At 38.8% G+C, this 23,226-nt stretch overlaps 1 long non-coding RNA gene across 2 annotated transcripts in view, besides 1 other annotated feature; it reads left to right on the forward strand.

The window, feature by feature from the left end:
• Positions 1–23,226, forward strand: part of LOC105370733 (uncharacterized) — a 440,742-nt gene that overhangs the window by 358,089 nt on the left and 59,427 nt on the right. The window contains exon 1 of one of the 2 annotated variants that reach the window (XR_007064536.1): positions 17,932–18,805. The exons of the other annotated variant lie outside the window; for it this stretch is intronic. This is a non-coding gene — a long non-coding RNA (uncharacterized LOC105370733). Of the gene's footprint in view, positions 1–17,931; positions 18,806–23,226 lie in introns of those variants that run through there. 2 annotated transcript variants of the gene reach the window in all.
• Positions 17,788–18,287: an enhancer, noted in NCBI's record as "H3K4me1 hESC enhancer chr15:24722703-24723202 (GRCh37/hg19 assembly coordinates)". NCBI's record gives its function as "activates a minimal SCP1, AML or CMV promoter by ChIP-STARR-seq in naive H9 embryonic stem cells {active_cell/tissue: H9 hESC(naive)}" and the evidence as "EXISTENCE:reporter gene assay evidence [ECO:0000049][PMID:30033119]".

The following is a 23,226-nucleotide window of genomic DNA, read 5'->3' on the forward strand; positions in this document are numbered from 1 at the left end:
TCCATAATTCCTTCCACCTCACTTCCATAAATGTGTACATGACATTTCTTTGTACAGATCACCTATTCTATTAGAAATTATTTTTTCTTAGTTTTGATGAGTGATTATTAAATTTGGTTTTAGTTCTCAGAGATATAAAAAATACAGCTTAGAAAATGTGTACATTGAGTGCTGTAATCAGAAAATACTTTTGTGCCATTGACTTGTAAAAAGGGAATTTCAATTTTTTTGTTTATTGTCATTTTCACCTACCTTAATATTCTCAAAAGGCTTTCATGATTATGCTCCTTTTAGATTTTAATTTTTGTTGTCTTAGTCAAAAAACATGCGAGGGTTGGAAACACTTGTTCAAGATGTGTGAGACATGAGCAATCAACAGAGCAAAAACACTGGTATTTTATGGGAATATGTAATAATAGATGGGCACTTGCCCTGCTAGGTATGGCAGCAGTCAGGGTCTGTGGGCTTCAGTGCTGTATACAGAATTGACAGATCCTGCTTTAAGGAAAAAAGTGCCCCTCATCTGTCGTACGACAGCCTGGCACCATTTTGTTACCAAACCCAGGTTTGGCCATGGCCACTTCCAAAATCAAGTAACAGAAGGGTAGTAAAAAGAAAGTCACTGGACGGGCGCGGTGGCTCACATCTGTAATCCCAGCACTTTGGGAGGCCGAGGCGGGATGATCACCTGAGGTCAGGAGTTCAAGACCAGGCTGGCCAATATGGTAAAACCCTGTCTCTACTAAAAATATAAAAATTAGCCGGGCACAGTACTGTGCGCCTGTAATCCCAGCTACTGGGGCACAGAGCGAGACTCCGTCTCCAAAAAAAAAAGAGAAAGTCACTTTATTTCCAGAGCTTAGCAATGTGGAAGGGCTGGATTCGTATCTAAAGGAACCATATAAGTTTCTGGGGAGAAAACAGGGTTTTAAGAAGAAATATTGGCAATCAGGGCATGCAGAAGGGGTGTGGAGGTGTAGGATCTACATGACTTGCTGGATGACTTATCTCTAGTCTTGGGTCATTCCTTAGCCTGCCCAGCATCACTGGGGACAGAGTCAGGTTGAGGATTAACTGATGTATTGAGACAATCTCTCTATGGAGGAGAATTCTGGGGGATGCTTATTTTCGTTCAAGATTTGGTAATTTCTAAACAAACATATACTTAGCTAAGCTGACAGTGCTTGCTGGTGGTTTGGCTGGTGGAAAGGAAGGAGGGAAAAGTTTGAATTTGCATTTCTAAGGAGCTAGGTAAGACATGAACACACAGGAAAAAGAAAAACTAAATATTTTTTAAGGAAAATGAAGTACTTGGTTACAACACCCCACTGTCAAATTCTACTTATTTTTATTCAATTGGAGCATCATCTTCATTTGGTCTGCTTCCTACTGAAAGGGGGCATAGTTATAGAGCATCAGAATGGAATCTGTTTACCTAGAGTTGGAAATATTCTTGAGTTTTCAGCAGGAACTTACTGTGCATATATGGTGTGAGGATCCAAGAATTTATTAGAATGATTTCCTGCATCTCCATGCAGAGTGTACAACAGCAATAAAATTCATAGCAGCTGAAGAGGGCACTTAACAGTATTAATAATATATATAAAAGTATTTTATGCACCAGGAAGCCAACTAAATCATGGTGCCATAGAGTCCTGGGAGAGGGCATCTATAACAGAAATATGGGTATCTACATGTATAGCTTGGGTTATATTGTGAGAATAATCTGGTGTGTGTGTGTGTGTGTGTGTGTGTGTGTGTGTGTGTATAAAATGGTCAGCCTTAATGAATGCACAAGTGCCACCCTTGGCTGCGGTGAAGATATCTAAAGCCATATGGTTTAAAGACATCATGAGATTAGACATAGCATTAGTTTGCTTGTGCATGTCTTTTAGGGCTGAGGATATGTTTCTGGAGTTACCCAGGAAGTACACACAGCATTTAGTCTTAATTATAGTGCAAAGCCCCAAATGTCAGTTGTACCCAGAGCTCCTGTGGAGATACGAAGACAAGTTGGTTAACTATACATACTTAACAGGCTACAGGAGGAGTTGTAAATGTTCGTGAAGGTGGTCCTGACCCATGTGTATTAACAAATATCCATGGAACATATGACTTATTTATTTTGGAGCAGAGACTTAACTTTTAAATGTATTATAATTATACCCTATATTTCAAAAGTTCTTCTGAGGACAAAGGCACAAAAGTGTGCATTTACTGTAAACCGGCCAAAACTAGTTTATGGTGAGTGATCGTTTATCAGGAGATACTTACTGAAATTAGTCTCTAGTCTACTTCAATCTGTAGTTATGGCTGGTTGAACAGTGGCTGGGATCAGTCAGCTTATCTTGAGGCTAGTGCTTGCTTGGCTGCTAGAGAAACACAGAAACCTTGTGGCGGTTGTAAACATAGTCTGCTTTTTTAAAGTGTAGGAATGTGAGACTTAACCCTTGCCTGGCATGTTTTTAAGTCCTGTTCATAATTTGGTATTTTATTGTTATAAAGAGTCTGTTTTACAGTTTTTATTGTAATGTTAATGCTGATCAGTTGTGCCTAAATTCCCATAATGGGAGGAAGGTGTAGTGAAGCTTGTTCAACACCCCTCTTGTTGTCATGGCCTGAATTAGTTTTTCAGGTTGCTTTGGCTAACATGGGTGTAGGGAGTGTCCATTAAGTTGGTGGGGGCTTAGGACTTTATTTTATAGTTTATATTCTCCTTTTTTGTCAAGATATGCCAGAGGCAGTATGGGTAGCCACACTTTTATTTTCTCTCATGTCAATGGCAGAGCGGCGTGCTACCTGACCTGTGTCCATCATGTTCCTTGGGGCGACCACTATGGCCAAGGGACTTAGAACCAGAAGTCTTATATCCAATTATATCCAATTCCAGTCTGTAGGCCAGACTGGAATGAATGCGGCAGGCTGTCATTAATCCTTAAAATCCCATTTCAGCAATGTAAGAGCCAAAACTAAAAGTCAAAAGGTAAGGTTATATAACTGAATTTTCTCTGAATTTTATGCATTGAGCTGTTGTAATCTTGGCTTATAGGAACCATAGCTATAGAAAACATAATATTTTATTTAGCTGTTTAGGCATCTGTATGCCCATCCTTTATTTGGGGGGTGTGAATTAATTTTATTCCACAAGAACTGGCCCTTACAATCTCATGCATTCATACCTTCCATGATAGTCCCTGGGTCTGGAGAAATTGAAGAGTTTTAAATCCTGGATATATTAATAAAACAAAATATTCACCATTAATAACGTTTTAAGCAAAAATGCCGTAAGCCCTGTCTTGTTCCAAGAGAAACAGGACTGAGGCGGGTGGATCACGAGGTCAGGAAATCGAGACCATCCTGGCCAACATGGTAAAACCCCGTCTCTACTAAAATACAAAAAAAATGGCTGGGCATGGTGGTGTGTGCCTGTAGTCCCAGCTACTCAGGAGGCTGAGGCAGGGGAATTGCTTGAACCCGGGAGGCAGAGATTGCAGTGAGCCAAGATCACGCCACTGCACTCCAGCCTGGGCAACAGAGCAAGACTCCGTCTCAAAAAAAAAGAATGAGTGACGGGAAAGGAAGCCTATAGGTAGATAAACATTTAAATTATTTAGTATTAAGGTACAGAATAAATTATATTTCATATATTTCTATTTCAGATAGAAGGAAAATTATTAAAGTATAATACATGCCTGTCCCTGTGTTGCATGAAAGCAGTGTACTTTGATTATTGCCTTTGCTTGAGTCTAAAGATGAGGCTTTGGTTAAGTCGAGTTTGATGTTAGATGCTGGCAGGAGTCTGTGTCTTCTTGAGAGGACCTACATGTATCCAGGAGTCAATTCCTTGTACCTTAACACCACAAAGATTACTTAATAGCACCTAATAAGAACTTTTTCAGAGTGTTGGAGTTGGTGATAAACTTCACAGTGATTAATGTTTTTTAGCTTTGATAAGCCCCAGCAAGAAGTCAGAGACTTAATTTAGGATTCAATTTTGGAGATGTCTGTGAAAGATGTGAGAAAGCTTAAAATATTTCATCAAAACTAAACCACAGGTCCTTGTAAAACAATAGTTATTCATTTAACAAAGTGATCACTGAAAGACTTTAAAGGCAATAGAAAAAGTTACACGGGTATAAAATCCTTACTCCTTTCAAATTTCGGGGGTTTTTTAAAAACAATTAGACGCTTAATAAAGGCAGCATAGGAACTATCTTGATAAAACGTAAAATCTTGTTTCTTAAGCCAGTTACCAGAAAGTCAAAGGAAAACCTTTTTCAGTGTGACTGCCTCTCCTTAGAGGAAAGCCTGTGTAGATAATCTGGAAGTACAACTTAAGATAAAAAGTGCTTGAATTTAATCAAACATGGGAAGAGTGTGTACAAGGTTTTGAATAGAACTGGGGAATACATGACTCTTAGTAGCTGCATGATAAGTTTCCTGATTACAGTGAAAATTTAGACACACCAAAAACAACAACAACAAAAACCCAAGAATATAGAATCAGGTTATCCTGCAGGAAAATATTTCTTTTATAGACCTCTAAGATAAAATATTTCAGCATCAGCCACAACAACATTTAGAACTAAGGAGAAAAGTTACAGGAGCTGACAAGAAGCTGAAGGATAGAGTTATCATCCGAGGCCACATCAAAGGGAGAAAAAGCTGATAGCAGCAAGACAACAATTGAACATTTGAGATATGAATCTCAGAAGTTTTCAAAAGAGGTATATTATAGAATATAAAATCAAAATTTATTGTAATTTTATTAAGAGTACATTGATACCTTAAAAAAATCTTGATTTAACATAGGGGACCATTCTTTAGAAAGAGTATTATTAACAATTCCTTTTAAATTATGGCTAACTTAATTGCATACAAAATTTCTTCTATACTGGCTCAATTGTGAGAATTGAGTGAGGTTCTATGAGTCTCTGGTTTTTAGGATTTGAGGCAGAATCTTGTTCATTTGATCTAAAGATTTTCTGCTTCTTCAAATCAAGTAAGCACTTAGTAGGCTACCTGTGTACTTCAATTCCAAGAACACTATTATAAACTAGCCAGCAACATAAATCTATAGGAATCGATGAACCTGATTGTTGCTTTGCCTTTGTCGTCCATTGACATAACTATGCCAACCTGGTCTTTGAAGACTGAGTGTTGCTACTTGCTCCCAAGATTCCCTGAAACCGGGTTATTCCCATTGCATTTTGATTTTCCAGTTGGTATACTGTGGTTTCTGTATTAAGGTCTGGTCTACAGAGAAGAGAGATCAGGGAGCTCTTCAGTTGTGCCCAGCCTCCCCTCACAAATCCACCTAACAAAGTCCTGATAAAGTGTATGTTTTCTGGAGTCTATCGATATGGATAAGTTGCATTTATTTATTTATTTATTTATTTAGAGACAGTCTCACTTTTATTGCCCAGGCTGGAGTGCAATGGCATGATCTCAGCTCACTGCAACCTCTGCCTCCTGGATTCAAACCATCCTCCTGCCTCAGCCTCCTGAGTAGCCGGGGCAACAGGTGTGTGCCACCATGTCTGGCTAATTTTTGTAGTTTTTTGTAGAGATGGGGTTTCACCATGTTGGCAAGGCTGGTCTTAAACTCCTGACCTGAACTGATGGACCTGTCTCGGCTTCCGAAAGTGCTGGGATTACAGGCATGAGCCACTATGCCCTGCTGTAAGTGGCTTTTAAATGGCAAATCCATTCTAGCATTCCTATCTCCCCAGGCCTATGAATTCCTTCATCCAACATAATACAGGGAAGATGGGGGAGTCACCGACTTGCTCATGGTCATACATCTGTTGAACTATATTTCAGCCAACCAGTCATAACACCACTAATACCATCCTTAAATACCGAAGCTGCAACATTAAACCAGAATATCTGCTTAATGGCCCCATATCATTAAATTTGGACTGATTCAAGTTTATATTCCTTCTACTGTTATCAACGCTTTTTTTTTTTCTTGTTTTGGTTTCTTACAGATGAGGTCTTGTTCTTTTGGCCAGGCTGGAGTGCAGTGGTACAGTCGTGACTCACTGCAGCTTCAAACACCTGGGTTCCAGCATTCATCCCACTTCAGCCTCCCGTGTAGCCGGGACTACAGGTACAAGCCACCACACCCAGCTATCCACAGCCATAATCTTTATTTCCACATAGGGTCTTCAGATTTCTGTTTGCATTAGTTAGAAAACTCAGGTTGCTTTTTTGACATAGATCACATCTCCTCATGGGAAATACTATCCATCAGCTTTAGGGGCCTGTTGTAACTTTAGTCTCACCATGAGTCTAGAAGAAACACAGCTGTCAGGGGTGGGTCTTGAAGATAATCAGCAGTGTATTGTTTGACAGCTGCTTCAGGGGAAGCCATTACCGTTTCCTTAGGCATTGTAGATGTAAGCTACTCAGACACATATGGAAAGGCCTACATCACCTTGTGTGGGAAGGCCATTGCCAAGGGGGTGGCTGTAAGGAGGCCACTTCTGCTGGCAATAAAAACTCATTAGAATTTAGGAGATCAGTGTCCCCAGCCACATCAGTCTTCCCATCCATCCTCATCCCAAGTTACAGGATGCTATTCTTTCTCAATTTCCACTTCAACAGTAGACACCCTGCCAGACTGAGGAGTTCAACGTTTCTTGTAATTCAGCCAGTGGCATGATAAGGGCTTGTGTTTGACTTTTAGCAAATACTTCCCTGTGGCTACAAGAGAGTTTTCTGGCTCAGAGCACAGGTAGAAACTCTTAGGCTGTTTATGTGGAGCTGGTTCTGCAAAATTGAATCCCTAAGCTCATTATTGTCTTTCATCAAATTTCCCAGTGAATTAGAAGCAACAAACCCATCATCATTGTGTTCCATGGTTTTACGCAAATGTCTGTATCACATACAGAGTAAACAAGTACCTTGCCTCTTATCAGTGTTTCAAGAGTATCAAGTGCAGATATTTTGGGGATCTCTAAAAACAGTTCATGTCATTGACTGTCATTGCTCTTTCTACTGTTAGAAGTACAGTTCTTAGAATTTAGGTGCAATCAGATTAGAAAGCCAATTCTAGAAACCCCAAATTTGATTAAGGACACTCATCCTTAAAATTCTCTTCCTATAGAACCGTTCTTACTACCAAAATCTACACTAGTCAGGGTTTTCTAGAGCAACAGAACGAATAGGATAGATACATAGGAACTAGCTAGTTAGCGATAGATAGATAGATAGATAGATAGATAGATAGATAGATAGACAGATAGATAGATAGAGATTTTTAGGGGAACTGAATCACATGATTATGGAGGCTGACCATTTCTACCACATGCCATGTAAAGTTGGAGATCCTGGGATGCATGTTGGGTACCATGGTCTAAGTCCAAAATGCTCAAACCAGAGAAAACCTTGGTTAAACCCTCAGTATGAGGCCACCATGCTGGGCTAATTTTTTGTATTTTTTAGTAGAGACAGAGTTTCACCTTGTTAGCCAGGATGGTCTCGATCTCCTGACCTCATGATCCACCCGTCTCAGCCTCCCAAAGTGCTGGTATTACAGGCTTGAGCCACCGCGCCCGGCTAATTTGGCTCCTCTTATGCGAATTTCTGCAGCTGGCTTGAATTCCTCCCCAGAAAATGGATTCTTCTTTTTTTGTTTTTCTTTTCTTTTTTTTTTTTTTCTTTGAGATGGAGTCTCACTCTGTTGCCCAGGCTGGATTGCAGTGGTGCGGTCTCAGCTCACTGCAACCTTGCAACCTCCACCTCCCAGGTTCAAGTAATTCTTCTGCCTCAGCCTCCTGAGTAGCTGGGACTACAGGCATGTGCCACCATGCCCAGCTAATTTTTGTATTTTTAGTAGAGGCGAGGTTTCACCATATTGGCTGGGCTGCTCTGGAACTCCTGACCTTGTGATCTGTCCGCCGCAGCTTCCCAAAGTGCTGGGATTACAGGCATGAGCCACAGCACCTGGACAGGTTTTTCTTTTTTACAAAATGGCTGGACTGCAAATTTTCTAAACTTTTATGCTCTGCCTGTTTTTTAAATATAAGTTTTAGTTTCATAGCATCACTTTGCTCGCACTATGACAATACACTCTTAGAAGCAGCCAGGCCACATCTTGAATGCTTTGGCGCTTAGCAGTTTCTTCCACAAGATGCCCTAAATCATCAGTCTCAAATTCAAAGTTCCACAAATCCCTAGAGCAGGGGCACAATGCCACCAGTCTCTGTGCTAACATAGCAAGAGTGACCCTTACTCTAGTTCCCAATAAGTTCCTCATCTCCATCTGAGACCACCTCAGCCTGGACTTCATAGCCCATGTCACTATCAGCATTGTGGTCACAACAATTTAACCAGTCTCTGGAGAGTTCCAAAGTTCTCCTCATATTCCTATCTTCTTCTGACCCCTCTAGACTGTTCCAACCTCTGCTCATTACCCGGTTTCAAAGTCACTTCCACATTTTCAAGTATCTTTATAGCAATGCCCCACTCCCAGTAGCAATTTTCTGTATTAGCCTGTTCTTGCACGGCTATAAAGAACTACCTGAAACTGGGTAATTTATAAAGCAAAGAGGTTTAATTGACTCATAGTTCTGCAGGCTGTAGAGGAAACATGCCTGGGGAGGCCTCAGGAAACTTACAATCATGACAGAAGGAGAAGGGAAAGCAGGCACATCTTTTATGGCCTGAGAAGGAAGAAGAGAAAGAAGGGTGAGGTCCTACATACTTTTAAATAACGGTATCTCATGAAAATTCACTTACTGTCATGAGAACAGCAAGGGGAAGTCTTCTCCCGTTATCCAATCACCTCCCACCAGGCCCCTCCTGTAACATTGGGGATTATAATGTGGCATGAGATTTGGGCAGGGACACAAGTCCAAACCATATCAGTGACTAATTTGAACTATTTATGCATATGCTGTGAGGGAGGAATTTAACTTGCCTGTTGATGTTGATGATGTTGACTTGTCCCAGAATCCGTTAATGAAAAAAATACTTTTCCATATTGAATTTATTTGGAGCCCTTGTAAAATTATTTGACCGTAAATGTAAAGGTTAACTTTTTGATATTCAATCTGTATGTCTACACCACACATATTAATTAGTATGGCTTTGTCTTTAGTTTTAAAATCAGAAAGTATGAGTCTATTTTACAAATTCTGTTTTTTTTTCAAAATTATTTTATCTCTTCTCTATTGCATTATATATACAGTTTAAAATCTGTTTGACAAGTTAGTGAAAAAACGGTCACCTGGGATTTTCATGGAAATTGCATTAAATCTATAGAGCCATATAAAAAGTATTGTCAACTTAATAATATCAAGCCTTTTAATCAATGATCATTCAATATTTATCCATTTTTATAGAATTTTATTAATTACATTCAATGTATTTTACAGTTTTCAATATACATATGGTACGTGTATTTTGTTAAATTTATTCTTATGTTTTTTTCCTTTTTGATGCTATTTAAAATAGCATGGGTTTCTGAGTTTTTTGTTTAGTTTGTTAATTTCTAGTATATAGAAGTACATGTTTCTATATACTGACTGTGTACTGGAACTGTATTGAACTTATATTTTAATTTGCATTCTATTTTATTAGAGTCATTTTGATGTTCTATACAAAAATCATGTCAATTGCCAACAGAGTTTTACTTTCTTTTATACTAGATGTCTTATATTCATTTTTCTAGACTAATTGTCCTTGCTACATCCTCTAGCATAATGTGGGGGAAAAATGTGGCCAGAATGAAATTCCTTGTCTTATTTCTAATCTTGGAGAAAGTATTGAGCCTTTCAGAAAACTTTTATATCATGTGAGGGTTTTTATTTTTTTGGATGCTTTAAAGTGAAGACAGCTTCTTTACAGTTCTTATTTGCTGCGTATCTTTATCGGAATGCATTTTTGATTTGTCTAGTGCTTATTCTGTGTCTTTGAGATGATCGTGCAGGTTCTGTGCTTTATTCCATTAATACAGTGCATGAATTGTATGCTGAACAAAATTTGCATTCCTGAGGAAATACCCTTAGCCATAGTGTATAATACTTTTTGCATGTTGCTGACTTGTTTTGCTATTATTTCCTTAAGGATTTTTGCCTCTTTATTCATAAGGCATATTGGTCTTAATTTTCCTTTCTTGAAATGTTTTGGTCTAATTGTGGTATGAGGATGAAATACCTCATAGTGTGCATTGGGAAGTGATCTCTTCACCACTGTCATTGCTGTTATTTAATGTTTTTAGAGAATTCATAATGAATTTGTATTAATTCTTTAAAGGTATGAAATAATTTCCTATTGAAGTCATCTTAACATGGAACCAGAATTAAATCCTAACAACAATCATGTGAGCCTGGGGAGGATCCTTCCCCACGTGAGCCTTCAGGGGAGACTTCAGCCTTGGCCATCTTCTACATCTAGATTCCTGACCAAGAGAAGCTGTGAGTAATGTGTATGTGCTTTTCAGCCACTCAGCTGTGTGGGAATTTGTTATACAACAATAGCTAAGTAACACACCTGGCATTGAATGTAATGTGGTATCCTAGATTAGATACTGGAATAGAAAAGTGACATTATTGGAAACCTGAGGAGAACTATGAAGAAAGTCTGTAGTTCCATTGATGGTTTTATAACACTGTCAATTTCTCAGTTTTCATGAATAGTCTATGGTTATATAATGTGTTAACATTCCTTTAAGCTGAAAGGTATATGAAACTCTCTGCACTATATATACCTCCTTCTGTAAGTCAAATATGATTTCAAAATAATTTTAAAATAATATTTTGGTGCAAAACAAAAACCAACAAAAAGACACAAGAACATTAGCTTGGTTTCAGGAGATGGGGTGGGCAAGTAGGGAAAGAACAGCAGTGCAGCTTTCCTAATCTATCCACCATTCGGAACCCAGGTGCACCTGCTTCAGTTAAACACAGTTAGCTCTGGGGACTCTCATCCATTTTTGTCTTTGAAATCATGCTACTCATTATCCACGAACATTTCAAGTGTCAGTAACCACTTCTTCAGAGAGAGGTGCCTGTTCCTCATATATCCCAGGATGCCCCATTTTCAGGCATTGTCTGGCAGTTTATTCACATAATTCCAGTAAAGCCTTTCTGGAAAAAATGACTGCTGGACCTTAGAAGCCGATATTGCAAAATGTCAGTGACAGGGAACACAAATTGTATTTCTACAATCAGGAGAGTGTTTTAATTCCCTTGGTACAGAGATTTGTTCTTCAACTGATTATCAGATCACTGTGATAATTTCTATTTCTCTTGTCATGAATTATTTGGGACCATATATTCTGTTGCTCTTCACATCTTGGAATTATATTGTCCATTTCCAAGGTCAAAGACCACAGAATAAATGTCATCCTGGCAGCAGGTGAGTAGGGCACACAAACAATGCTTCTAAATATGGTGGTTGATGACAATGCTTGCTTACTAAGACCTCGATATGAATCTGTGGACAACTGGTTTTTGGCAGGTGAAGTCATGTGAGTGATTCAGTATATGCTGTGTATGGCTGGAGAAAGCTGAGTAGATACAAGAAAAAGCAGTGTGTAACAGATCTCCCCCCACCATGCAGTGATCTAAGAGATGGACCCAGGCTAAATGGTGACTCTGCACGTGTTCTGGCTAAACAAAGAATCTCACAGCAGGAAGAACTGTCCAGCTGTCCCCCACATAGGTCCCTGCTCATAGTTCACGGCACTCTGCGGTGTTAGCATCAGGGTTGTGCCAAAGAACCATGCCTACAAAGCCTCCCAAGCCATGAGTCTGCATGCTGCACTCACACAGACATAGACAAAGCCAAGACTATTGCCTTTATGATGGTCTGTAAACATGGGGCATATTCTCTATAGCACATTGATAGCTTATATGAGAAAATGAGATCTTGCAGCCTGGAGACCTAGAGTGGGAGATATGACTGACCTCGACCACATTTTTCACTTCTGATATCAGCATAGAAGTGATTTAGGTGCTGTTATTTGAGCATCTGTACTTTAAGAAACCTTCCACGTCTTCCAAGTTCCATATACTTTACTCTTTAAGACATGACTCCTCTTTTAAATTTGACATCTTAAAGGAGGTTTATTCCATTTTTTAAATTTTAACTGAAGATACTATAGTACAGTACTTAAATGACAGATCTTCTGTTCCTCTTCATTTTAATGCATACTTTTTGATCTATTATGATGCATACTGTGAATATTCTGCCCACCAATAAATGGACCAAAAAATGGCCAGAGTGACACATATGAGCCACAGTTAGACCTGGACATGAGTTATGAGGACTACCACATGGTGGTCACAATAATTGAGATCTGAGTTCTCAAATTTAAAGGAAAACAGGCACTATACACAAAACTCTACTGACATATTATCATGGACACAAAGGACAGAGTGCTGAGCACTGAGTGCCCAAACAAGTGCTTTAACAGCATGGAAGGCATGATTTCCCACAATATACTAAGCCACTAAATTCACAAAGGCCACCACAATTCTAAAAAAAGATGTCACTGCAAACAAACCCAAGTCTTAGACCACAATATAAGACAAACATCCCAACATGCTGTCTCCACACTCTAGCCTGATTAGGAGTTGTAGTTCAGTGGATGAATGGCCCATATATTTAACATCATTACTTCATGTTCATGCAATTCAACCTTCCTGCAGTCTAAAACTATAGGTGAAATTTCAGTCAAAGTCCTAAATTATGAATTGTATGAGTTTCTTCTTCACTTAATATTTTCCCAGGGAAACAGGAAAACTAATTTCAATATCCAAGTGTCCAAAAGTAGAGTTTGCCAGAGTAGCAAGGGGGCAGAACAAAGCATTTTATGAAGATCACAATGCATCTGCTTCTACAGTGCCTATGTATTATCACCATTTGTGTGATTAAAAGGGTGAATGAGAATGAAGAAAAACAGAGATCAAGAATGTTATAGATTAAAGAATTGAATTTGTAATGTAGCTTGCAGGGATCATTGCTTATATTACTAACTTTAGGACACAATTTTTTTAATATAGATTTTCCTTAGTCTTTAGAAAACTAGCACTTCAGGAAAAATTTCAAGTGTCTCTCTACAATTTATATCTTCCTCATCAACAGATTTCTTGAACCATAGTTTATAAAACAATTACAGCACTTTACTAATAAGTCTAATATTTCTAATAACTAAGTAGAATGTAAATAGAATTGTTAAATTAATGTGAAAATATATACAACAATGTTTACTTAATAACAGACTAAAATATAGCAGATTAGCCACCATGATTTTTTCTTTTTCTTTTTGAGTTGGAGTTTGCTGTTTCGCCCAGGCTGGAGTGAAGTGGCGAGATCTCCCCTCACTGCAACCTCCGCCCCCGGGGTTCAAGTGATTCTCCTGCCTCAGCCACCACCATTTAACACTGAGAAGTGGGCAGTCACAGAGAAAAAGTGTGTAAACAATTCTTTGGTACACAATTTAACATCTTTTTTTTTCTTTTTTTAATTTTATTATTATTGTACTTTAATTTTTAGGGTACATGTGCACAATGTGCAGATTTATTACACATGTATACATGTGCCATGTTGGTGTACTGCACCCATTAACTGGTTGGACACAGGAAGGGGAACATCTTTTAAGGAGAGATGCATCTTCTATTTGAAAGGGTTATAACATTATTGCCAGAAAGCAGTCATGATGTGGTTGTCCGTTGGCACACACACAAGAACTTGGTCTAAACCTCCCCAAAGACATCTTTGGGTAATTATATCAAGCATCAAAACTTACAGAAGGGTGTCAGGAGACTGGAAAGATAAACTTACATAGAGTAGCATAGGAGTCCCATGAGAAATGCAGCACTATCAGTGCTTGTGATTAGCACAGATGATATTGTGGGGAAAATCATGGACAAGATGAGTTGAAAGTGATTCAGAGAGTTTGTTCTGAATGAAGTAAGTGTTAGCAATACCTTTGTAAATGTATTTTGCATATATGTTCTGTCTCATGTAATCACAGGAATGATATAAAACAAATATAAACATGTTAGTTGAGAAAAGTTTTTAAAATAATTATACATAATATAAATTTAAAATAATATAAATTTAAAATAATTATAAAACTTGAATTAGAAATATTTGCTCCATTATTTATTAGTGGTTTTATTATTTCATTCTGATATATAAATCTAAAAGATAAATCTCACAACTTATTATAAAAATTAGTCTTAATGATATGTATAGACGTGATATTATACTACATGCTTTATATATTATTTTATACAAACCCACCTGACATTTCCAGAGGTGAGCACTGTTACCACTGCCACGGGCCAGTTCTGAATCTGACACTAAGCACTACATGAAAGGATTAAAAGTGCTTTGAGTTTGATTCATTCTGTCTCCAAAGTCGTTGCTCAAGTCAACTATGTAGAATATGTAGAATATTTTCTTGTAGAATTAGTGCTTTCTAGGTCTAGTTTCAGGTACCCTACCCTACCACATAGTCCCAAAGATATTTTCTTATGTGTTCTACATATTGTACTAAATATATATATATATACTGTACTAAATATATATATATATGTCTGTGATCCACCTGATTTTGTGTGTAAAATGAAGTTAAAGGTCAGATTTTAATTCCCTTATAAATATTCAGTTTTTTGAATAGTTTTAGAAAAATTAATCTGTCCCCATTAATTGACTTACAAATGATTTGTTCACATATACACGTCTCTATTTATGATGTTTTATTTTTTCATTGGTTTATTCCTCTGTCTCTGTGCAAATGCAACAGTTTCTTAGTTGCTAACAGACTTCATTTAATACAATAATTTAGTGACCATTCTCTTAATGACTGTGCCTTTCCATAATGAAGTGAAAGAAGATTAAAAATCTACATGCCTTTCACCTACACCAATACTTTCAGCTGGACTTTGAATCAATCAGTGGCTTTAGAGTTTTAGAATATCATTGTTGTCTCTTATGTCTGTAATGTCTTTGTTAATCTTTTTTTTGTTTTCTTTTTTATTATTTATTTATTTATTTTTTAATTTTATTATTATTGTACATTAAGTTTTAGGGTACATGTGCACAACATGCAGGTTTGTTACATATGTATACATGTGCCATGTTGGTGTGCTGTACCCATTAACTCGTCATTTAGCATTAGGTATATCTCCTAATGCTATCCCTCCCCCCTCCTCCCACCCCATAGCAGTCCCCGGTGTGTGATGTTCCCCTTCCTGTGTCCATGTGTTCTCATTGTTCAATTCCCACCTATGAGTGAGAACATGTGGTGTTTGGTTTTTGTCCTTGCGATAGTTTGCTAAGAATGATGGTTTCCAGTTTCATCCATGTCCCTACAAAGGACATGAACTCATCATTTTTTATGGCTGCATAGTATTCCTTGGTGTATATGTGCCACATTTTCTTAATCCAGTCTATCGTTGTTAATCTTATAAGATCTGTGAACACCACTCCTCAGTTTATGTATTTCATACCTTCAACAACAGCAGGTGGTGGGAAAACCTGGAGATGCAGCCCCGGGTGCCTCCTGCCTTGCTGTAGATGATGCTGTGGACATGGGGCTCCTCCTCCAGACGATGCACATCAAAGGCAGGACCAGCAGGGAGCCCTGAGATCAGAACCTCTCTGTGGGGTCTGCATGCACAAGGGGAGGAGCCCCTGTTGGGTGGGGTGGCGAATTCAGTTATTTTGTATGAGCATGAATTTGTTAAATAATCATTCTTCTTTCTGACCCATGGCACATTTCCCCTTCAGTCCTGGCACTGTAATGTTACATCTTGGTTTTTGGTTTTGTGTACAAATGTGTTTAAAACTTGTGTGTTAAACACAAGGAAACACTCTTTTCTTGGTCACATAGCCATCATGTACAACCAAATTTATACTTTTGTATTTTTCCAAAACAAACATCCTTGGGTGCTTCCTGCACAGACACAGACAACTCACTAGGCAAGATTTACCTCCTCCAGACCACGTCTATCCAAGACAGTGCCTAGGTAGATGCAGGAGAGTTGAGTCTGTCTCTGTGGTGTCTTCATGGGAAACACCAACATTTTCTTGCTCTACTCTGGTGTTGGTTGGGGAATTCGGTTATTTCTGGGAAAGATTGAGTGTGTCAAAGAATCATTCTGTTTGCTGTCTGAAAACAAATGACACAGTATTTGTTTTGAACAAATGAAACAGTGTTTGTTTTGGTGTGCAAAGGCCTTTGACCCTTTCTGTGTCAACGTACTTTTTAATCATCACATAAACATCATGTATGACCAAATTTAAATTTTTGTAGTGTGTATTAATGCCTTTTATTTTGTTTAATTATTCATAATCATTTTTCAAAATATCTTTATTTTTATATTTTATCACTCTTCATTAAATTAATGGAAATATCACCCATTGTCTATAATTGTTTTCCACAAATTTCATCTGAAATACTCCTAGTTGAAGAGGTGCAGAAAGTTTGCTAGGAACCACAAGACAAAATTTGCTAGAGACTCATACTTAAAAAGGGTTTCGTATATGGCTTAGTTTGTTCTAATTTGCAAGGTTCAAAAGCATTAATTTGAATAGATGGAATATCAAGACTCCCTTCCAGCACACAAAGACCAGTTATTTTGTTAATAAGCACAAATAAACTTCAGCATATTGTTTTTCTTTTACCTGAAATTTATAGATACTGGCTTGAATCTCTGATTCCTTCTACATAGTATTTGTAAACGTCTGCAAGACATTTCCTTATACTTATGGCTCATAATATAGGTGTGTATTCTTCTCTTACTCTTTGATGAGTAAATACCAAAACTGCTTCTTCAGTTAAAAAAAAAAAAAAAGCCACTCCGAAAATCTGTGCATACAACTGCACACAGCAAATGTTTTCCGATTATCGTCTGTAGAAAAGAAATGGGAACTTCAGTTTATTTTCTTCTATCAGATAATAATCTTTTAAAACTGATTTATACTTTTATAGATTACCAGAGAATTTTCAGAGTTGCTTTCTGTCCAGGACATGTGTGGGGCTCAGAGACACCATAGACAAAGTTGCCATGTTCTGTGATGCTTCTGTCCAATAGGGTTTCAGAAAACTTGACAAAAATTAAACTATAAGGTGGAAGAGCTACCCTTGGGAACTGAGAGGACAGGTTTCAGGCCTGGGGTGGGATGGACAGGGGAAGCCTCCAGGAGGAGGAACATTGGAGGAGATGCTGGAGAGTGAGGCGCAGTGGGTCCAGGAGACAGGGGAGGGAAAGCGAGGAGGAAAACGTGTGTGCCTGGCACAGGCCAGGCCATGAGAAGAGGTCAGTGGATTGGAAGGAGCGCTGGGATGAGTAATTGGTGAGGAAGCAGGAGCAGGAAGGGCAGACCACGGAGGGACTGGGCAGGGGAGGCAGGGAGGGCCGCTCCCTGAGGACTGCGCTCTGTGGGGAGGGATTCGAATGTCTGGGTTTGTTTCCCTGAGATGTTACCCCAGCCCATGAGCTCAGCCTATGGGAAGGACGTTGAGGAGTGAGTGGGCCCTGTCCCCCGGGGAGGCTCCTGGGCGGGGCCAGGGGGGCGTGTGTCTGGGAGAAAGGAGGGTGGAGAAGAGCAAAGAGGACCCCCGGCTGCCTGACTGCAGGGCTCATGGGGCTGCTCTTGTTCGCCGCCTTTTCTCCATCGCTCAGACCCTCACTTCCCCGCCAGGGCAGGTTTCTGCCCCCTCAGTCCTTTTGCAGGTGTAGGGTGGGATCCATGGAGGAGAAAACTCGGATCTGCAGGCTCCTCTCCACCTGGCGCCCACACAGGTGATGGTGGGAGCAGCCTGAAGGGAAGTGCCGGTGCGGGGGTCGCAGCTGCGCAGTGAGGGGAACCGGAGGCTGCCGCGCAGGCTGGGCTTGGGGGCGGGAGCCAGGCCCACGTGGGGCGTGAGGGCCGCGGGTGGAGGGCGAGGCTGACAGGGAGTGAGGGAGGAAGGTGGAGGGCGGTGATCAGAGGGCGCGGCTGACAGGGGGAGAGGGCGGTGAGATCTACAGGAGAACTCAGGGCGGATGTCTGCCGGGTGCGCGTTGGGCTTTCTGGTCGCTTCTCTGCGAACGCGCGCTTGTTCCTGCGGCGGTGCCTGCCTGTGTCGTCGTCCCTGTTTGTTCTTCTTCAAACCTCAGGATTTCTCCGTGTTTCCCAGACCGTAACGTACATTTAAAAACCTTGCTTTCTGTCACATATGCCCTTTTATATTATGGACATAACAATTGTTACTTACCTACGTTTCCTATTTGTGAATTATTCATAGATACAGATTTTACCAAAACTTAGTTGACACATTGCGTATATTTATGGATAACAGTGTGATATTTTGATTCTTGTATTCATTGGGGAAGATTCAATCAAGCTAATTAACATGGGCATCAACTCACCAGCTAATACTTTATGGTGAGAACACTAAAAATCTATTATTTAGCTATTCTAAAATGTACAGCGTGACTTCGGAGGAAATGATACTGCCCGGCCTCAGTAGCCCGAGACTGATCATTTCTAAATCCTGAGGTTCCCATTTCTGAGGGGGTCATGGCTGCATACCCGTAAGCAAGGGGGGTGTTGGGGTGCTTTGTTTGCCCTGTTAATTTTGGGTGCCTCTGTGTTCTGAGAACTATTAAGATAATATGTGTTTGAAAAATCCAGTTGCTTTAACTTTTCCTTTGTTTTAGTCTGTTAACAACGTTATCGCTTTTCTTTTACTGACTTTAGATTTAATATATTCTTCCTTTTCTAGGTTCCAAAGGTGGAAACACAGATGACAGATTTTTGGTCTTTTCGTCATTTCCTATATATGTGTTCAATGGTATTTATTTGCCTATATGTTCTGCTTTCCTTTCATCCTACAAATTTTGATAAATTGTGCTTTTATTTTCATTTAGTTAATTTAAAAAAATTTCGCTGGAGATATCTTCTTTGACCAATATGTTATATGGAAGTGTGTTGTTTAATCTCAATGCATTTTGGGATATTACAGTTATCATTCCAGTCATCCTTTGATTTCTATTTTAATTCCACTGTGGTCTGACAGGTGACATTGTATGATTTACTTTTTAAAAATTGTTGGGGTATTTTTTGTCCCAGAATGTGGCACATTTTGCTGAATATTCCATGTGAGCTTAAGAAGAATGTGTCCTCTGGAGTAGTTGAGGGAAGGAGACTGTAGGTGTCAGTTATGCCCAGTTGCTTGTTGGTGCTGTTGAGTTCAGCTTTTCCCTCCTGAATTACTGCCTGCTAGATCTGTCCGTATCTGATATAGGGTGTTAACGTTTCCAACTATAATACTGAATTCATCTTTTTCCTTGTGGTTCTGTTGATTTCTGCCTCATAGTTTATGCTCTGTTATCAGGCTCATAGGCTTTAAGAATTATGACATCTTCTTGGAAGAATGGCTCTTCATCTCTATGTAATGCCCTTCTTTATTCCTGATAACTTTTCTTGCTTTGAAGTCTGCTCTGCCTGTAATTCATATAGCTCCTCTTGTTTACTTTGATTAGAGTTAGCATCGTACATTTTGTTCCATTCATTTACTTTTATTTGTCTTTATATTTGGGTTGGGCTTATAAATAACAGTTGTGTCTTGTTTTTTGATTCATTTTGTAAATCTGTGTCTTTTACTTGGTGCAGTTAGACCACTGACATTCAAAGTGGTAAGCGATATAGTTGGATTAATATTTATCATATTTGTCAATATTTTCGATTTGTTGTCCTTGTTCCTTCTTCCTATTTTCATCTTCCATTCATTTTATGCCTTTCGTGGTTCTCATTGAGCATTTTATATTTTTCCGTCTCTCGCATTTCTAAAAATATGAGTTATATATAATTTTAACTTTTTCTTGGTTTAACATTTTTATAATCTTAGCTAATTATAAGAGAAAACAATTTCTTGAAAATAATAGAAAAATTATTAAATAATATAAGCCTATGGATATAGCTTATGTATAAGTATATATGTGTACGGATATATGCACATGTGCATGTGTGTTTGTATGTGTGCGTGTATATGTATATATATACACACATATATATATGAAGTGGATATCAGCAATAATGCAAAGGACAGGAGAAAGGAATTAGGATTATTTGTTATAAGATACAGTAACTGTTAAGCAATATAACTTTACTTGAAAAGTAGGTCAGTTTAGTTTTTTTTATTTTTTATAGTTTTTATATGATTTTGATTTTTTTAACTGTATATATTTAAATTTAGGTTTGTGGATACATGTATAGTTTTGTTATATAGGTAATCTTGTGTAATGGAGGTTTATTGTACAGATCATTTTATTACCCAGGTACTAAGCCTACTACCCAATATTTACTTTTTCTGCTCCTCTCCCTCCTTCTACCCTTCACTTACAAGTTGGCCCCAGTGACCTTTGTTCTGTTCTTTGTGTTCATGAGTTCTCATCATTTAGCTCCCACTTAAAAGTGAGAATATGTGATAATTTGGTATTCTGCTCCTGTGTTAGTTTGCTAAGGATAATACCTTCTAGCTCCATTCATGTTCCTGTAAAAGACATGATCTCATTTTTTTTTCAGCTACATAGTATTCCATGATATATATGTATCACATTTTCTTTATCCATCCTGTCATTGATGGGCATTTAAGTTGATTCCATGTCTTTTTTCTTGTAAGTAGTGCTCCAGTGAACATTCATGTGGATGTGTCTTTTTGGAAGAATGATTTCTATTCCTCTGGGTGTATACCCTGTAATGGGATTGCAGAGTTGAATGGTAGTTCTGATTTTAGCTCTTTGAGGAATTGACATATTGCTTTCCACAATGGTTGAATGAACTTACACTCCTACCAACAGTGTGTAAGTGATCCTTTTTATCTGCAACCTCACCAGCATCTGTTATTTTGACTTTTTAATAATAGCCATTCTGACTGGTGTGAGATGGTATCTCATTGTGGTTTTGATTTGCATTTCTCTAATGATCAATGATATTGAGCTTTTATTCATATGCTTGTTGGCCGCATGTGTGTCCTGTTTTGAAAATTGTCTGTTCTTATTCTTTGCCACTATTTTTTTTCTTTTCTGGGACCGGGTCTCACTCTGTTGCCCAAGCTGGAGTGCAGTGGTGCAATCTCGGCTCACTGCAACCTCCGCCTCCCGGGTTCAAGCGATTCTCCTGTCTCCCCCTCCCAAGTGGCTGGGACTACAGGTACATGCCATCACACCTGGCTGATTTTTTATATTTTTAGTAAAGACGAGGTTTCACCATGTTAGCCAGGATGGTCTCGATCTACTGACCTCATGATCCGCCCAACCTGGCCTCCCAAAGTGCTGGGATTACATGCGTGAGCCAATGCGCCCGGTGCTTTGCCTACTTTTTAATGCGGTTGTTTGTTTTTCTCTCGTAAATTTGTTTAAGTTTTTTATAGATGCTGGATATTATACTTTCATCAGATGCATAGTCTGCAAATATTTTCTCCCATTCTGTAGTTTGTCTGTTCACTCTGATGATAATTTCTTTTGCTGTGCAAAGCTCTTCAGTTTAATTGGATCACATTTGCCAATATTTGCTTTTGTTGTGATTGCTTTCAGAGTTTTTATTATGAAATCTTTGCCTATTCCTATATCCAGGATGGTATTGCCTAGGTTGTCTTCCAGGGTTTTTATAATTTAGGGTTTTACATTTAAGTCTTTAATCCATCTTGAGTTAATTTTTGTATATGGTGTAAGGAAGGGGTCCAGTTTCAGTCTTCTGCATATGGCTAGCTAGTTCTCCCAGTACCGTTCATTGATTAGAGAGTCTTTTCCCCATTGCTTGTTTTTGTTAGCTTTGTCAAAGGTCAGATGGTCATAAGTGTGCGGCCTTATTTCTAGGCTCTCTATTCTGTTCAGGTGGTCTATGTGCCTGCTGTTATAGCAGCACCATGCTGTTTGGTTACTTTATCCCTGTAGTATAGTTTGAAGTTAGATAACATGATGCCTCCACCTTTGTTCTTTTTGTTTATGATTGCCTTGGCTATTGGGGCTCTCTTTTGGTTCCATATGAGTTTTAACACAGTTTTTTTCTAGTTCTGTGAAGAATGTCCTTAGTAGTTTGGTAGGAACGGCATTTAATCTGTAAACTTCTTTGGGCAGTATGGTTAGTTTTAAATATAATGTTTCCAACTGTAGAACAGTGCATTGCACAAAAAGCCTCTTACCTTCCTGGCTGTTGGCCATTGGCTAAATAAAGTGCCTTGCCAAGGGGGCTTCTCTCACATGGCTTCATAAAATCCATCAAGAGAGACATCTCTAGCAAGACCAAAATCATAATCATATATAAGAATCCCAGTGACACTTCTATACCTTTGCACTATTCTATTGTTTCGAAGCAAGTCTCAATTCCTGCTTAGAGTCACTTGGATGGGATTACAGTAGAAGGTTGTGTATATGAGAAGGTGGGGATAAATGGGCACCAACTTAGAGTCTACCTGACACATCAGGTATTCTCCTATATGAAACAGTTTCCTGGCCTTCACTTCTTTTTCATGACCTTGACCCTTTTGAAAAGTACCAGTCAGGTATTTAATAGGATGTCCCACGATATGGTTTCAGCTGATGTTTTCTCATGATTAAACTAGGAATATTAATGAATGAAATAACTTCACTTAAATCTGAAGACAAAAAAGCCCTAAAGAATATAGTATTCAGAAATACTCAAAGAGGAAAAACTATTTTTAAAGTATGGAATGACAATTCACAATATAGTTAAGTTCAGTGCTTAAGGAAAACTGAGAAATTAAGGAGATGCACAAAGGAGGTATCAACAATATTGCTAATCATTGGTTTTTTTAAGCTTGGGAGTGACATTAACAACAACAAAAATAACAAGTTTTAAACAATGGTTTTCCAAGGCCAGGCACAGTGGCTCACGCCTGTAATCCCAGCACTTTAGGAGACTGAGGCGGGCAGATTACCTGAGGTCAGGAGTTCGAGACCAACATGGCAAAACCCTGTCTCTAGTAAAAATACAAAAAATTAGCCTGGCATGGTGGTGGACGATTGTAATCCCAGCTACTCAGGAGTCTGAGACAGGAGAATCACTTGACCCCAGGAGGCGGGGATTGTAGTAAGCTGAGATCATGCCACTGCACTCCAGCCTGGCAACAGAGGGAGACTCTGTCTCAAAAAAAAAACAAAAAACAAAAACAACAACAAAAAACGGTTCTATGGTTTTACATTTACAGAATAGTTGCAAATCTAGTAGAGAGTTTCCATATACTCCATGCAC

The sequence above is a fragment of the Homo sapiens genome, chromosome 15 (genome assembly GCF_000001405.40).
Source record: "Homo sapiens chromosome 15, GRCh38.p14 Primary Assembly".
NCBI lineage: Eukaryota > Metazoa > Chordata > Mammalia > Primates > Hominidae > Homo > Homo sapiens.